Source organism: Homo sapiens, chromosome 9 (genome assembly GCF_000001405.40).
Source record: "Homo sapiens chromosome 9, GRCh38.p14 Primary Assembly".
In the NCBI taxonomy this organism is placed as follows: Eukaryota; Metazoa; Chordata; class Mammalia; order Primates; family Hominidae; genus Homo; species Homo sapiens.
Window position 1 is genome coordinate 67,856,757 of NC_000009.12, and position 14,932 is coordinate 67,871,688.

General features: G+C 39.2%; 1 protein-coding gene and 1 pseudogene across 1 annotated transcript in view; both read left to right on the plus strand.

The window, feature by feature from the left end:
* Nucleotides 1-2,174: 2,174 nt before the first annotated feature.
* The window catches only part of ANKRD20A1 (ankyrin repeat domain 20 family member A1), a 43,464-nt gene continuing 30,706 nt past the window's right edge, over nucleotides 2,175-14,932 (plus strand). The window contains exons 1-6 of the mRNA NM_032250.5: nucleotides 2,175-2,873; nucleotides 6,185-6,299; nucleotides 6,462-6,635; nucleotides 10,521-10,627; nucleotides 11,673-11,810; nucleotides 14,401-14,456. Coding sequence (NP_115626.2) covers nucleotides 2,671-2,873; nucleotides 6,185-6,299; nucleotides 6,462-6,635; nucleotides 10,521-10,627; nucleotides 11,673-11,810; nucleotides 14,401-14,456 — 793 coding nt within the window. The 5' untranslated portion in view covers nucleotides 2,175-2,670. The remainder of the gene's footprint in view (nucleotides 2,874-6,184; nucleotides 6,300-6,461; nucleotides 6,636-10,520; nucleotides 10,628-11,672; nucleotides 11,811-14,400; nucleotides 14,457-14,932) is intronic.
* Nucleotides 13,191-13,297, plus strand: RNU6-368P (RNA, U6 small nuclear 368, pseudogene; annotated as a pseudogene).

A 14,932-nucleotide genomic window follows, 5' to 3' on the forward strand; every position in this document is an offset into this window, starting at 1 on the left:
AACCCCAGTAAGATTCAGAGACAACCTAGAAAATTGAAAGAAAATTTTACTACTGAAATCATCCTTCTATAAAAAATAATAGAAGATGTCAAATATGAAAATAAAACTGTCCTCTGGGCCCTCAATTTTCTGTGTTATGGGAGAAGGCAGACAGCTACTCAGCAGTTATATCCCATAAGAATGGATAATACTAAAACAACTGACAGCGTCAAGTATTGGTTAGAAAGTGGAACTGATTCTCTCATTTTCATTGTAGTTTAAGATGGCATAACCACTTAGGAAAATGTCTCCCCATTTCATACAATGCCAAATATATACTTATTTTATAACCCAGAAAATCCACTCTTATGTACTTAAACTCAAGAAAAGTGAAAATATTATTACAGAAAAAAATATGTATATCTGATTTGTTCGTAGCAGGTTTATTCATGATAGCCTCAAATCAGAAACTGCTTTTGTGTCTATCAATAGTGGAATGGATTAAAAACAAAACAAGCAAAGGCCTCAAACCTGTGGTATAGTCATAAAATTGAATATTACAAAATAATGAATAATCAATAGGAGCAAAATGATGTGTCACAAGCATGTTTAGTGAGTGAACATAAAAATTATATAATTTATAGTTTCACTTACATAAATGGTGAAAACAGACAAAACTAACCTTTTGTGGAAAGAATCAAAACCGTGGAAGCCTCTGTGTTCAAATACTGACTGGAAATGGGCAGGAGAAAACATGTTTCTGCCAGATCTTCTATATGCCTGATGTGCATTCACTCGATGTATTTTGCGTATACTATTTTTGCAAATAAAACTGAGATAAAGGCAAAATAACTCAAGAGAAAATAGGTAGAAATAGGTAGAGTTGGGATAGAAGCCTTTGAAGCTACCCCCGTACCTTGCCCACCTGGCACAGGCCGAGGAAGTCCTGGGACAATGCTGTGAGCGACCTGAGGGCCGTCCAGGGGAGCCCCGCCAGCCCATGCTGGCGCCCGAGCTGCCCGCCGCCATCTGAATATGTTGCAAAGACAGTGCTGGCCTGGCAACCGGTGACGCTCCACGCCCCACCCCGACCCCCACTTCTACCCAAGTAGTGGCTACGCTAGAGACAGATTCCTGGGCGGCAGCGGTTAAGTCTGGCAGTTGGCCAGGTGGCCAAAGGACGGGAACTGGCCGTTCACCCCATCCCAGTTCCACAGAGAACTCAACCACTATGGCCCCTGAGCGGACCTTCAGGCCTGGTGGGCTGTGCTCTGTGCCCGCAAACCTGACGCCATCCAGGGGAGCTCCGCCTTCCCGCGCCAGCGCCTCGGCTGCTGCAGAAAACTGCAAAACTGCAAGTTGCACACGGGCAGAGATGACGGAGCAACCCCCGACCCTCCGCGCCACTCACCCTACCTGCACACCTGCCGCGCGGACCCTGGGGCGGGTGCCTGGGTGCCCAAGTCAGGCAGTCCGCACAGCAGTGGCACCAGGGTGAAAACCTGCTGCTCGGTACCATCCCGGTTACCACGAAGAGCCAGTCCCGGCGGCCCCTGCGTTCTTGGAGGAGGCCAAGTCAGAGCAACCTCTCAAGTGGGAGGGCGATGCACTTGACCCTGAGGACATCAGGTACCAGGCCCGCCAGCTCACGCCGGCATCGGAGCCGCAGCTGCAGTCTAGACGTGGTGCACCGGCAGCAAGTGACTGGACACTCCAGACCAGGCCCGCCCCGCAGTAGCGTGGATCCTGAGGCCAGACCCCCAGGCGGCAAAATCAGGCAACCGGCCCCGCCAGCAGCCGCTGTTTCATCCGTGTGGACACAGAGTGCCCAGCGCCAGGGCCCAGGATCCAGAAAGATGTCCAAGAGGAGCGGACCTTGAGGCCAGGTGGGCTGTGCGCTCTGCGGCCCTGAGGCCATCCAAAGGAAGCTCCGCCATCCTGCGCCAGTGCCAGATCTGCAGCTGCAAACCGCGCGTGTGGCACTGGCAGCAGTGAGGGCGGGTGGGGGAAGGAGCAGCCCCTGACTCTGCCTCCATCCCTCTCCAGCTACCTGACACTAGCCACACAGACTTCAGGGCCAGAGCCTCAGCGTTCAGCCAATCCGCGAAGCCACTCAGGTGGCCGCGGAGTGCCCTTGCCAGCACCCTATCTCCCTTCTGAGGAGGAGCGGGGCGGGCTGCAAGGCCAGACAGGCCCTCTTTCTCAGGCCGGGCTGGCTGCGCGCCTGCGATCCTGGGGCCGCCCGGGCGATCCCAGGAGAACCGGCGAGCCCATCGGCGCACGCCCAGAGCTGCAGCCCCACCTGCTGGCGCGCGCCGCCAGGGAGCGTCTTCCGGGAGCCCGGCAGCAACCGCGGTGCAGGCGCGCTCCGCCAGGGACCGTCTTCTGGGAGCTCGGCAGCAACTGCCGTGCAGGCGCGCGCCCAACGGCTTTGCGAGGCTCACTCGGTCTGAGAGGTCGGAGGCTGCGAGTGTCGCTGCTGAAGGCTGTGGTGGACCGGGCTGGATCGCGGATTGTGGAGTAGACCATAGATTTGAAATAGCGGAGTTGGGGTTGGATCGGGGCTTTGGGGTTGGATAGGGGATTTGGGGCTGGGTCGGCCGGGGTCGGGGAGGGGGGTGGTGAAAAGGTGACAGGGAGCTGCCCCCGCTCAAGAGCCGGTGGTTGGGGGTCTGAGAAGAAGTCACCAATATGAAGTTATTCGGCTTCGGGAGCCGCAGGGGCCAGACGGCCCAGGGCTCCATAGACCACGTCTACACGGGTTCCGGATACCGAATCCGGGACTCCGAACTGCAGAAGATCCACAGGGCAGCTGTCAAAGGCGACGCCGCGGAGGTGGAGCGCTGCCTGGCGCGCAGGAGCGGAGACCTGGACGCCCTGGACAAGCAGCACAGGTAGCGGGGGCTCAGCCCGGGGTGGGAGGGGGCCCCCAGGCCCGGCTTCCCCGCAGACCCTGGGACGGGGCCTTGCAGGGCGCCGGGCACCCTCGGAGCGGCGGAGCCAAACGGACTCTCAGCTGTTTTCCATCCCTCATAATTCCCTGGCTGGAGCAGTTGGAGAATTTGAGTGATTTAACTCACAAAGTTAAGCATATACAGCGTTGTTATTTTTAACGTACACGTTTAAAACATGGTTTATATACATTATAGGAGGTGCCTAATGAGAGAACTCGTTCCCCTATCAAAAATAACCGTGAGTTGTTTCAGTGGGCGAAAAGTTCTCAGATAAGAGAGCTTACTTGAAAAATATTTACTATATTATATATATATATTTTTTTTTCAGATGAAAAGTATGTTTTCATTTTATAGGGAATTCATTATATTCTTTTTTTTTTTTTTTTGAGTCAGAGTCTCGCTTCTTTGCCCAGGCTGGTGTCCAATGGCACAATCTTGGCTCACTGCAACCTCTGCCTGCCGGGTTCAAGCAATTTTCCTACTTCAGCCTCCCAAGTAGCTGGGATTGCAGGCAGGTGCCAGCATGCCTGGCTAATTTTTGTATATTTAGTTTCACCACGTTGGCCAGGCTGGTCTCGAACTCCTGACCTCAAGTCATCTGCCCGCCTCCACCTCCCAAAGCGCTGGGATTACAGGTGTGAGCCACCGCGCCTGGCCTATGTTGTTTATTATATATCATAAGATATATATATATTACTGATATGTATACATATATAACACATATGTTATATATATCAGTTATATATACACATTAGATGAAAAGTACCTCTTCATTTTACAGGGAATTCTTTCAAATCAAATCATCAAACACTCTAAAAGTGGGCAAAGTACCTTTTTCCAGATCTACAAGTTACTTATATACATAGGAAAAAATCCTTCGCATTTCTGGTATAAGAATTTAAACTAAAAGAGGAATGAAACAGTTTTCTATCCACAATATTTGTGAGGATGTTTTATACTGCTGCTTAAAGTTGCTGATTACTTTTCAAAGTACTCATTTGAAAATGGTAAGTACTACATTTAAAAAATGTGTATGCCCTTTACCCACCAATTCCATTATACTAAAATACCCTTAGGAAATAAAGATACATGCACTTTATTTTTCACAGTACTTACTTTAAAGAGAACCCATAGAATGGATCCTATAAATAAATTTCAGTTGCATCCATAGGATGGAATAATATGTGACCACTGAAGGTGGCAGTAGATACAGAAGTACGTTGATGTGCAAAGATGTATTTTGTTATAGCTAGCAAGGAGAAAAAAATTAGTTAAATTATACATACACAAACATACTATGGTCTTGTTTTAGCAAAAATATGTACAAAATATAAAATTTGTAATTTCTGAGCATTTGTATTTTAAGTAAAGTTTTTTTCCTTTTTCTTATCTGTGATTGCTGCAGTGAGTACAAAACTTCTAGTAAAAGTTTATTATTAATGGACTAATCCTTGGGAAGAGAGGAATATGAATCTTGCGCTGATGAAAATAATTTCTCACTTTCTATTCTTTATCATTATTGTGTGTGTTGTTATCTTCTTTGAGCTTTTAGCCTCTTCAGAAGTAAAAAGGGAATGTTTTTATCTGTTTCAGATTTTATTATCTATATATTTTATTATGTACATATGTTTTGCTTATATACTCATTCCATTTATGCAAACATAATCATTTCATTTTAATTGTGTTCTTTAAAAATAAAACAACACATATAAATAATTACTATTGCAAAAATATTGCTTTATAGGAGTTTATTTAAAAATAATGAACTCCCCAACTGTATTTATCCATTCTTTCATTCCATTTATGGATCAAGCATAACCTGAGTACCTGCTATGTAGCAGACATATTCTGTCATCTCTCAGGACCCGTCCATCCTTAAACACTTCATGTTTACCTGCCCCACCTGCACAAGCTGAGAGATTTAAAATAGGAATATTGGGACTTAATCTCCTTGAAACTTTATCTCCCACCTTTCAAACAAAAGCATTTCTGAAGTTAGAAAATAGTAGAAGATAACCTTTAACTGCTCTTTCGAAAGTTTATCAGTCTTAAATACTAATATTAATCATTGGAAAGTCTTATTTGCATATATTTTCTAAGTATAAATATTGAATACAATGAGCCATATGTATTCATTTGAATCATGAGTTTCCTTTGGTTTCAAGTTGTTTGAAAATCAAAGAATTAATTTGTTTAAAAAATGCATTATTGTTATTTCAGTGCTCTTTCCCCATAGTACCTTTAAGAACTAAAATGTATTTAAGTTTCAGTTACATGCCTAGAACTGCCCTAGACCTGCTGAGTATACCATATTCTACTTAATGTAAGGTCTCATGGATTGCGTGATGCCCCGATATTTTATATATCAATAAGATAATTTTTAAAATGCTACCAATTATAGTTATAACAAATCATGAATTATAAGTGGCATTCCAATGTCAGAGGTGTTAAAATGTGACCTACTCGTTAAGTCATCTTGCAAAGTAGGTATAATTGTATCATTCTACCTAATTAAAATGGTTTTGTTAAGTAGTAGTAATAGTAATAATTATAATATCTGGCTGGGTGCAGTGGCTCACACCTGTAATCCCAGAACTTTGGGAGGCTGAGGTGAGAGGATTGCTTGATGCCAGGAGTTTGAGACCAGCCTGGGCAACAAAGTGAGATTCTTACTCTACAAAAATTTTTAAATAAATAGCTGGGCATGCTGGTGCTCATCTGTAGTCCCAGCTACTCAGGAGGCTGGGGATGGAGGATCATTTGACCCAGGAGTTCCAGGTATAGTTACACCATTGCACTCCAGCCTGGGCAAAAGAGTGAGACTTTGTCTCAAAAAACAAAAATCTTACAATTATTGAGTTGTCGTAGGAACTGTTCTACATACTTTACATAGCTTCTCATTTAAGCATCACGATGGTGTCCTATGAGATAGCTACTATTGTCATCTTTATTAATGAGGAAGTTGAGGTACAGAAAGGCTAAGCAATAGTTGGTAAGTGTCAAGGCTTAAAGTAGGACTCAAGCCCTAGTTGAACCGAATCCAAAGACTGAGCTCTTTCTACTCAAATAGGCTGCTGTTTTCATTAAGGCAGTGAGCAATAAGAGCTAGTAAGTATTGTACTTTCTTCAAAAAATTTATTTGTTTTGAAGGCAGAGGAAAAACATGCTATTCAGTTTTTACATTACATGAATGATTGTATGTTTTGAGATATTGTACTACAGTTTCTTAAAAAATCCTCTTACTCTCATAGAACTGCTCTACACTTGGCCTGTACCAGTGGCCATGTGCAAGTGGTCACTCTCCTGGTTAACAGAAAATGCCAGATTGATGTCTGTGACAAAGAAAACAGAACGCCTTTGATACAGGTATATTAGAGCCAACTCTTTTAGCATGACATGGATTTGATTTACATATATAGAATTAAAATAAATTGATCTCATTTACATATAACTAGTTGGTGAAACCTGTGGAATGTGTATTTTGAATTCTTGGAATTTACAATCTGTTTCTTGGTCTAACACGGACAGGCTGTCCATTGCCAGGAAGAGGCTTGTGCCGTTATTCTGCTGGAACATGGCGCCAATCCAAACCTTAAGGATATCTACGGCAACACTGCTCTCCATTATGCCGTGTATAGTGAGAGCACCTCACTGGCAGAAAAACTGCTTTCCCATGGTGCACATATTGAAGCACTGGACAAGGTATAGGTCAATCAACTTTCTTTCCAAAATATTTGTTTTAACATTGACATAGGTAAGGGTCAATTTTTTATATTTGGAAGATCAACCATTCCCTGAATGCAAATACAAATTAAGTTATTTTGAAATAACTTGTCTAAGATTTTATTTTAAATATTGATATTTTTAAAGAAGCATTAAAGGGCACAGCTTTATAAAATGCACTTTGGAAAATATTTGTGAATTTGTTAAAGGTAAAACCTTTTCAACTTTTTTTCTACACAGGCTTATTCTTTTTTTTTTTTTTTCTTAATTAGTGTAAAACAACACAGGAAATAAAATATTCCCCGGAAATAGGCTTTATCTTAAAACTCAAACAAAACTAAAGCAACTTACAATAAAGGGACATGTTGCTGTTGCTGCTAATTTTCTGAAAAACTGATGTATCATCTTTCAGTGGCAAGGCTTAAGAGGGAAAAATGGGAGGGGAGAAAGAGAGCAATCAGAAATATGCAGGTCACTTGGATATTAGATAATGAGGGAAAATGCCAGGAAGAGGTTTTTTTTTGTTTTTAAGTTTGTTTTATGTGTTGAGACAAGGTGCTGTTTAGCTTTGGGTCTAATAATTTTTGGTTTGAAAAAGAATGAGTTGCAACTTGCCTAGAGATGAATTTTAGGAGGACTCTGAGGAAACCAGATTGGCAGTGAATATGTGGTGACGAAGTGAGAAACACTTCAGCAGAAGGTGGAACAAATTATTAACTGACTTATTGCTCATCCTGGCAGAAACAGCCACTTAGATAAGAACCTAAAGCCTCCTCTCAAATCTAGAATGTCTTAGTGGGAAGGTGGGAGATAAGGAGCTTGTAAATAGCAAAATCAAGTGGGATTTTGAGTTTACTTGTCCCTGTTCTACCCATAGCCAGGAAACTTAACTGGAGTTTTAATAAATGACACTATCTCTTACTCTTTTCTCTTTTTGGCCACATCTCCAACTGATAAAGGAATTAGCCATGTGGGTGAGAGGTGAGACTGAAGTGATTGTCTGCTGCACTGATTCTCAGAATTGTGCATTACAGTGACCTGAGGACATTTTGTTAAAAATCTACAATTGTAGGCTTTCCCCTGAAGATTTTGATGTAATAGACCTAATAAGGCCTGAACGTGTTTAAAAATGTTTTCTTGAAGCTGGGCACAGTGGTGTATTCCTGTAGTCCCAGCTTGAGCCTAAGAGTTTGAATCCAGCTTGAGCAACATAGTGAGACTCTTGTCTCTAACAACAATAATAGCCAAAAAAAAAAAAAAAAACCCCAAAAAAACAAAAAACCTTCAAGGTTGGGATACACTCTTGATTAAAAACCCCAGAATAGATAAGTGCAATATATAAATTTCTGTATCTCAAAAATGTAAGAAATCTCTAGAAGAGTTGGCATTTGATAGTTGCCACTTCCTTCAAAATTCTCCTTTTCAATTATATTAGCCTGACTTATCTGTCTTTCTCTACATCTGTGACTGGGAAGTGAAAGGAAATATCATTGGCAATATCTCTCAGCTTGCAGAATAACATGTTTTGCTTCCCACCATGAATCATTCACTACCATTCAGAGAGTCTTCAGAAATTTGCTTATGAGTAATCTTTCAATAGGTAGAGGCTGACCCTTTCATGATTTCATGTCCCTTTGTCACCACGCAGGTGATTATGTGTCAACAAATGTTCATTACAAGTTTGGCTTTCTCAATTAGAATAGTAGCAAATCCTAAACTATTTTTTTTAGTTGAAGTTTTATTATGAACTATCTCAGTATGTTTGTTAAGTTTATAGAACTTTAGCATACCCAAAATGTCAGTTTTAAACACTGAAATCCATGAAGTTAATAAGAATATAGATAGGAATTCTTTTAATAATTTAGTTTTAGCAGTCTTGTGAACCAATTATCTATTTGGTTAACAATCTGGGAAAATTATATACAAACATATTTTAAATGAATACATGTTGGAAAAATTCTTGAAGCAGGTATTGTGAGTCTTTTTAGCAATTTTTATTATATATGAGAGCCTGAATTTTTGGTAGAACATATGATACCAGAGAAAGAAAATATTTTACATGCAAATACTTGGATTATACACAACCATTTAGTAACACATTAATAGCGAATATAAAAAAAACAAGGGCTATATTCTAATGTGGTACACAGATTTGTTTGTTTGCCTCTATAAGTTGAATCAACATGTAAAATTTAGAAGACTCGTGAAGAAATGTGGACTTCAGGCATATCCTAAAAAATCAAATCTGGTGTCCCCTGAGTTTCTATCATTGTTTGGTCTGCTGTGCAGAAGTTGCCCCTTTATAGAAGGCAGGTATTCTCCAGTTTGCTACTGTGCCCACCTTAGTACTTCCCTTACTCAGGCAACCTTCCTTTGTCCTTGTAAGTATCTGAGTTTACAACTCCTATGTTATAGTATATTTTGATAAAAATTTCAAGGTTTTTAAGTCAGCATGTATTTGTTTATAATATATAGTCTATAGAGTATATAAATCCCTCAGTTATGGAGTTGAATTTTAGAGTTTAGAAGCTTTTAACTCTTTTCTTTATATATACCACAAATAATTCTCTGCCCATAAGAATGCCTAGAAGCCTTTTTAGGTTATTCCTGGTTATAGTTGGATAATTTATGAATATTGCAGACAGTACATCTTTCTCCTCAGTGCTCTTCCTTAAGGATGCAAGTGACTTATTGGCTTGTATTATGCCAGAAATAATCCATATGGATCAGTATGAGAACTTCTATTGATAAACCATTATGTTTTTATTTCCGATTTATATTTTGTCTAAAATAAAAAATAATTTTAAGTAGCCATTTAAGTGGAAGCCAGTAAAAATGGATTTAAAAAGTAGAGCTGCACTAGGGTCCCGGGATTACCATTATAATTGAGAATAGTATTTCTTACTGAGTTTTGGTTTTTAAAATATTTGTTCTTAAGTTTTTTAAACCTATCTCTCTTACACAGAATATACTGAGCTTTCTAACAGTAAAGATAAAAATCTCTTCTCTTGTATTAGGGGAAAAACCCATGGACTATTTAATAATAAGGAAAATAAATGCATTTGAAGCCAATCTGTCTTAATTCAAAGCTCATTTCCATGGTGACCCATTTGGAGCAGGAGTGCCTGACATTGGCATCTGGGATCCTGACACCATTGATAGAAGTGAATCAAGCAAGTTTGTACCACCCAGAGGGAACTGCCACCTGTATTGGGAAGCTCTGGCAACTGTATCTCTGAAACTCTTAATTCCTCAAATGTTAATGTTTGCCACAAATAGTATTGTGAAAGGGGATTAGGTGAAATTAAAGAGATTTCTTGATTATTGGACATAAAATACAGTTTTGTAATACTTCTCAAATACAGATGGTCATGGAGTCTTTCTCTTGCGGTATAATACTTCTGATAAAGCAAATATTCTTTGGAATATAGTTTAAGAGACACTGCTTTAGAGATAGTAATTTAGATCATTAATTAATGTAAAAAACTTAAAATATTTGCTACTGTGTCTTAGGGTTTTAGGCCCTTGCCTCAAGAAGCTCTTGGTTTCAGTGGGAAACAGTGAAATGACTGCAATGTACCATGATAAGTGCTGTTATCAAAGCAAGGATTCTTGGGACTAGTAAATGTTTAAAGTGAGTTTTGGCAATGACCACAGTTAATCCGGGGAGACAGAGGAGGGTTGTTTGCAAGGCAAAGCACAGCACATCAGAAAGCACAGAGGAGTGAGAATGAAGGGAATGCTTTTCATTTACTTCCTTTCTGTATTGTATGTTGAAGTTCAAAGCATCCTAGAGAAGATTTTCAGTTCAGTTGAGAAATATGTAATTTTGTGAATTATTAATTTTTTTCTGCTGTTTTATAGGACAATAATACCCCACTTTTATTTGCTATAATTTGCAAGAAAGAGAAAATGGTGGAATTTTTATTGAAAAAGAAAGCAAGTTCACATGCCGTTGATAGGCTGAGACGGTACAGTAGTTCTTTTTTTAAAAATAAAACCTGAGTATTCTAGAGTGGTCACTCAAGTCAGAAATATTAATAAGAAGATTAACATAATTATTGGCATATAATGAAAAATATCACCATGAATAATCAGGTAGACCAGCAAATATTTGGACTGAGTAACATAAAGAATAGTATATAGTAGGATTCATCTTCTCTTATAATATACAGTGTTTGGTATTTATAATCAGATGTTTTTGGTACTGTAATCTTTTATTAGCTAAAGGGTTTTGTATTAGTTTTATTAATTTTTTTTTTTTTGAGATGGAGTCTTGCTCTGTTGCCAGGCTGGAGTGCAGTGGTGTGATCTCAGCTCACTGCATTCTCCACCTGCCAGGTTCAAGCGATTCTCCTGCCTCGGCCTCCCAAGTAGCTGGGACTACAGGTGCACGCCACCATGCCCAGCTAATTTTTGTATTTTTAGTAGAGATGTGATTTCACCATGTTGGCCAGGATGGTCTCGATCTCTTGACCTCGTGATCTGCTCTCCTTGGCTTCCCAAAGTGCTGGGATTACAGGCATGAGACACTGCACCTGACAAGTTTTATTCATTTTTAAAGTGCGGACTTTTAGTTTATGACTACTAGCATTGTCATTATTATTATTGTTGTTGTTGTTGTTTTCAGCCTGCAGATAACTCTTATCTGACCCCTAGCTGATTTGACTAGGAAAGCAACGGGGAAATCTTCATCTAAATCTTTGCCTACTTTAGATAAGTGACCTCAGCACAGTTTCTTGGCCATCAAAGGACTATAAGTTAGCAACTTGTATTATGTCTTACCCCAGTGGGACAAGAGGCTTCCCTGTTGTCCCTTTCTTTTAGCCTTGGTGACAATTTACAAAGATGAACACTTGAGCACCCTAGATGCTTATAGACCCAAGCTAGTACATGCAAATGGTTATTACATCTATACTGACAGGCAGATATTAAACTGGTAAAGTGTATCAAACTAGCTTTTTAAAAAAGTCTTTATTAAAGTTCTTGAGTGGAGTTATTTCTTTGTTGTTTTAGGTCAGCTCTCATGCTTGCTGTATACTATGACTCACCAGGTATTGTCAATATCCTTCTTAAGCAAAATATTGATGTCTTCGCTCAAGACATGTGTGGACGAGATGCAGAAGATTATGCTATTTCTCATCATTTGACAAAGTAAGTGTTTATGTTAAAAGGCCAGTTAATGCTAAATTGAAGTTTAAAATAATTGCAACTACTCCATCTTATACATTAGGTGAGAGTTCATAGTTTGGTTCAGATAGTTGGAAATAGCGAAGAGTTAGTCTACCTTTTAGCCAGAAATCAAGCAGAAGTCTAGATTAGTTAGAAGTAGAGTGCGAGATTTTTTCTGGATTTTTGAGACATTTATCCCTAGGGATCTCAATGTTATTCATTTTATTCTAAGTATAATCCCCATGCATGGGATAAAAAGAGCCATGTCTTTGATTTCTTTTCCTTTCCTTTCCTTTTTTTTTTTTTTTTTGTAGAGACAAGGTCTCACTCTGTTGCCCTGGCTGGTCTTGAACTTTTGAGGTCAAGTAATCCCCCTGCCTCGGCCTCTGAAAGTGCTAGCCACCATGCCTGGCCTTACTTTTCTAATTAGTTATTGAGTCTTGTAATGTCCAGTTTAACAGAAAATCTTGTATTGTCCCCTGGGGCTCTCTCCTGTGTCTTCCTTCTTTGAATTTTCCAAGAAGCTAAGGGGTTTCCTAAGTCCAAGGAAGGCAATCTTTCTTTACAAGTCAGAAGAAGGGGAAAAAAGGCCATTCTAATCATTCTGTTGTTTCCATGGACTCACTTGCTGTATTATTGCCATTATAACCGGTCCTGCAATCTGATAATGATTGACCTTTGCCACCAGGATGCCTTCACTGATTCAGACCCCTCAGTTTTCATGGTGATTCATATATAGAGGTCAAAGCTACGGTGTTTATTAGTTTATGTACTTGTGCTCAGTCATTGTTCCCAGCACCCTGCTCTGGCAGCTAGGCCTCCTAGCTTTATCCACACAAATATTGAGCAAGTTGATGCTCACCCTACACTAAAAACCTTATTTGGAGCCCACGTCTTAGCTAGACTTTGCCTAGGCCTTCATGGTATGTTATCCTTTGAGAGCCATGTTTGTCTTTCCTTTAACCAATATTAGTTGGGATTGTTCTCAATAGTCAGGGATGTTCAAATAATGTTGCAGGAAGAGATCAGAGTTCCCTGTCTCTTTTGCTATCAGATCTGTACCTTGAGGCTTTTTTATATCCTGTGCAGCAGCTTTGGTTAGATAGCGGAATGTTCCATGTTATCTTTCCACTGAGTAGTGGGAACCAGCTTGCAGTTGGCCCCTCAAGTAATGTGTCTCTATAATCATGAAAATCTCCTGGGCTACTTGCAGCTCTTCCTCAAGTTTTCAATATATTTTAAAATTCTACCTCACAGGAAGCCATTCAATAAAATTCTCTGAATCTGAAGTAAGTGAGTTGGATTTAATAGAGCTAAGCCTCATCCATGACTCATGAATATCCATGTATCAAACAGGGCTTTGTACTTATTTCAACAGCACATATTTTAAAATTGGATCAATACAGAGCAGATAAGCATGGCTACTGCCTAGGGATGGCACACAAATTCAGAAAACATTCCATATTTTGCCTAGTCCCAGGAAGGCCATTTGACTATTTGTTGAGTAGCTCCAAGGAAGCAGTGTGAGCAAAACCAAAACAGGTGACACGCAATATTGAAATTGTGATTATCGCTATGAAACTATTGATGTATGGTGATCTCTGAAATGGGAACAGAGCTGAGTAATAAGGGGATGTTACATGTTGTTAGTACATGTCTTGGAAATGAGAAAATGTCAACTTGTATTTCCTTCATGGAACTGAAAAACAATCAAAGCAGGGTTTTGTCTTGTCTGTTAGTTGGAGAGGACCATGGAGATCCAGCAGCCAAGCACAGATCTGCTGGCTCAGAGTTTGAGGAGGTAGAGAAGGAGTGGTAGTTGTCCAAGCCAGGTTTTGACACCTATTAGTTTTCTGCCCTTGGTGTGATTGAAGAGCTCAGTGATGAGCTCACTAAATTTATATATATAGAAATTTAGTAATAAGTTATGAATTAGGTAAAATGCCCTGAATTACAAGCCACAATGAATACAAGTAATAACCAAAATTAGCACTTAATAACATTTTCTGAAAACTGCAACATTTGAGTATTAGAACTTACAGAAAAACACACACCGAGCATTATTTGGGATTCCAAAATGGTTTCAGCAATAAAGTTCAAGAATAAATTATTCCATTGCTTTACTATTTCTCTGAACATATAAACATGTAATCTCATTACATCTTCCAAACAACCTAGTGAAGTAAGGTAGCAGAATCCTTGTTTTTTAGAAGAAACCATGGAGCCTAAGAGAAGCAACTTGTCTGAAGACAAAATACCTACAGAGCGAGGTATTTTGGTTACAGAGCAAGGACTTACTCTGAGTGCAGGACACTTTGCATGATATCCAGCTAACTAGAGTTCATTTACTGAGCTGTGCTTCCTCCATTTATGAGTACTTCACTTTCTTTTCTTCTTTAATTATAAGCTTAATAAGCTTGTAAGGTTTACAAATTTGAAGTGTATGGGACATTAAAATTCTGATATTAGGTCTGATATTGCTTGAAAGTGTTTTGGAATTTAATATGTTTGGTGAATATTTTTTATTTCATTATAAAAATAGCAATTTTATTTATTACTTTTGTATACATAGAATTCAACAACAAATTTTGGAACATAAAAAGAAGATACTTAAAAAGGAGAAATCAGGTAAGACTTCTGATTGTGAATTTCTTACTTCTCTTGGTGGTCCTACTCTTGATAAGAAAATACAAAGTAAGATGTAAGATTAAGGTAGTTTCAGTCAAAAAAGACCAGTTTAAAAATATGTGTAAATTGAATGTGTATATATGTATATACATATGTAAATTAATTTTTAAAATTTAACTTCTTTAGTTTGAAATTCAGATTTATTTAAGAAGGTAGTTGTAGCTAATTTATAATCTCAAACATTATTGTCTGAAAACATTCATTTATTAATTATGATCCCTAAAATCCTATATAATATTTTTGCATAAATAAGAAAAAAGATTTTTAAGTTAGTATGTTGTATGTTTCCTCTATAGTCACATTATAACAAATTGGACTTGTTATACAAATGGATCTTCGATTTCATTTTTATAATAAATTGTTTATATTTAGTAAACAAATAACTACAGTTGACCCATGAATAATGTGGGGGTGAG